This window comes from Homo sapiens, chromosome 9 (assembly GCF_000001405.40).
Source record: "Homo sapiens chromosome 9, GRCh38.p14 Primary Assembly".
NCBI lineage: Eukaryota > Metazoa > Chordata > Mammalia > Primates > Hominidae > Homo > Homo sapiens.
Window position 1 is genome coordinate 34,143,325 of NC_000009.12, and position 2,245 is coordinate 34,145,569.

General features: G+C 48.5%; 1 annotated feature.

Moving 5' to 3' along the window:
• Positions 225-416: a silencer, noted in NCBI's record as "fragment chr9:34143547-34143738 (GRCh37/hg19 assembly coordinates)". NCBI's record gives its function as "represses an EF-1alpha promoter that drives an FKBP-Casp9 reporter gene in an ReSE screen in HepG2 liver carcinoma cells {active_cell/tissue: HepG2}" and the evidence as "EXISTENCE:reporter gene assay evidence [ECO:0000049][PMID:32094911]".

The window sequence follows — 2,245 nt, forward strand, 5'->3', positions numbered from 1 at the left end:
GCATTTAAGGAAACATCTGGCAAACCACAGTAAAAAAAAAATATGGTTATGTAAGAGAAGGTTCTGGCTTTTTTTTTTTTTTTTTTTTGGAGGCTGAGTCTCGCTCTGTTGACCATGCTAGAGTGCAGTGGTGTGATCTCGGCTCAACCTCTGCCTCCCAAGCTCAAGCAATTCTTGTGCCTCAGCCTCCTGAATAGCTGGGACTACAGGCCCCCACCACCACGCCCAGCTAATTTTTTGTATTTTAGTAGAGACAGGGTTTCACCATGTTGCCCAGGGTGGTCTTGAACTCCTGAGTTCAGTCAATCCACCTGCCTCGGCCTACCAAAGTGCTAGGATTGCAGGCGTGAGCCACAGTGCCCGGTTGGTCCTTGCTTTTAAGAAACCAACACTGGGCCGGGCGCGGTGGCTCACGCCTGTAATCCCAGCACTTTGGGAGGCTGAGGCAGGCGGATTACGAGGTCAGGAGATCGAGACCATCCTGGCTAGCACGGTGAAACCCCATCTCTACTAAAAATACAAAAAAAAAAATTAGCCGGGCATGGTGGCAGGCGCCTGTAGTCCCAGATACTCGGGAGGCTGAGGCAGGAGAATGGCGTGAACCCGTGAGGCAGAGCTTGCAGTGAGCCAAGATCACACCACTGCACTCCAGCCTGGGTGACAGAGCAAGACTCTGTCTCAAAAAAAAAAAAAAAAAAAGAAACGAACACTGAAATACAGTACTTAGGAGTTTTCAACTTTCCAACATTCTAATATTTCCAATTTATTGTCAGAGAAGTGAAAAAGATTCATTCCTTTAGCAATCATTTCTTAGGCCCTACTGTGTGATACGTGTGGTGGGTGGGCAGAGATGTGACCTGGTCCTCCTCCCTGTCCTTAAGGAGCTCATAGACTAGTAGGGAACCCATCCAACTAAAGCACTTGATAGTCTAAGGACCATAAGGAGTATGAACAGAGCTGTGGGAGCTCAGCAGAGGAAGAAGATCAAGAATGGCTCCTTAAAAGAAGTCACATAGGCCTAATGCTGTGGCTCACATCTGTAATCCCAGCACTTTGGGAGGCCGAGGCGGATGGATCACCTGAGGTCAGGAGTTTTGAGGCCAGCTTGGCCAACATGGCAAAACTGCCTCTCTACTAAAAATACAAAAATTAGCTGGACATAGTGGTGGGCACCTATAATCCCAGCTACACGAGAGGCTGAGGCAGAAGAATGGCTTGAACCTGGGAGCTGGAGGTTGCAGTGAGCCGAGCTCGTGCCACTGCACTCCTGCCTGGGTGACAGAGTGAGAGACTCCATCTCAAAAAAAAAAAAAAAAAAAAAGAAGTCACATAAGCAAATAAGAGTGTAGAGGATTTTAAGAGAGAAATGGGTAGAACTAGCTTTGATTAGAAGGGTGAAGAAGGGCCAGGCATAATGGCAGGTGCCTGTAGTCGCAGCTATTTGGGAGGCTGAGGTCGGAGGATCACTTGAGCCAAGGAGGTCAAGGTTGTAGTGAGCTAGGATCTCGCCACTGCACTCCATCCTAGGCAACAGGCAAGTCTCTGTCTCAAGAAAAAAAAAAAGAAGAGTGAAGGAGAGTGGTTGCTAATTGTTCCCCAATATCCCCACCTTTTAGTTAGTAATGGATTCCCCCTGAATTTTTTTTTTTTTTAATTTTTTGAGATGGAGTCTCACTCTATTGCCCAGGCTGGAGTGCAATGGCGCGATCTTGGCTCACTGCAACCTCTACTTCCTGGGTTCAAGTGATTCTCCTGCCTCAGCCTCCTGAGTAGCTGGGATTACAGGCACCCACTACCACGCCCGGCTAATTTTTGTGTTTTTAGTTGAGACGGGGTTTCACCATGTTGGCCAGGCTGTATTCACACTCCTGACCTCAAGTGATCCACCCGTCTTGGTCTCCCAAAGTGCTGCAATTACAAGCGTGAGCCACTGCTCCTGGCCCTCCCCCTGAGTTTAGCTGAGTGCTTGCCAGCTGCAGCTCTCTCTTGCATCTAGGTATGACCATGAGACAATACTCTGGCCAAAGGGAAAGTGATGTTGGCAACTTTCAGATCATGCCTTAATAAGAAGCTGCTTGTCCTTTGCTTTCCCCTCTTTAAGATGTATGGGAGGTGAGTCAGCTCTGACCCTGTGACAAGTGTAACACCATGGAGGATGGCAAAGCAACGAGATGGAAGAAATGAGTCCCAGAGGGCCTGGGGTGACAGAGTCCCTGACTGGCCCTGTATAATCTGCCAGCTTAGA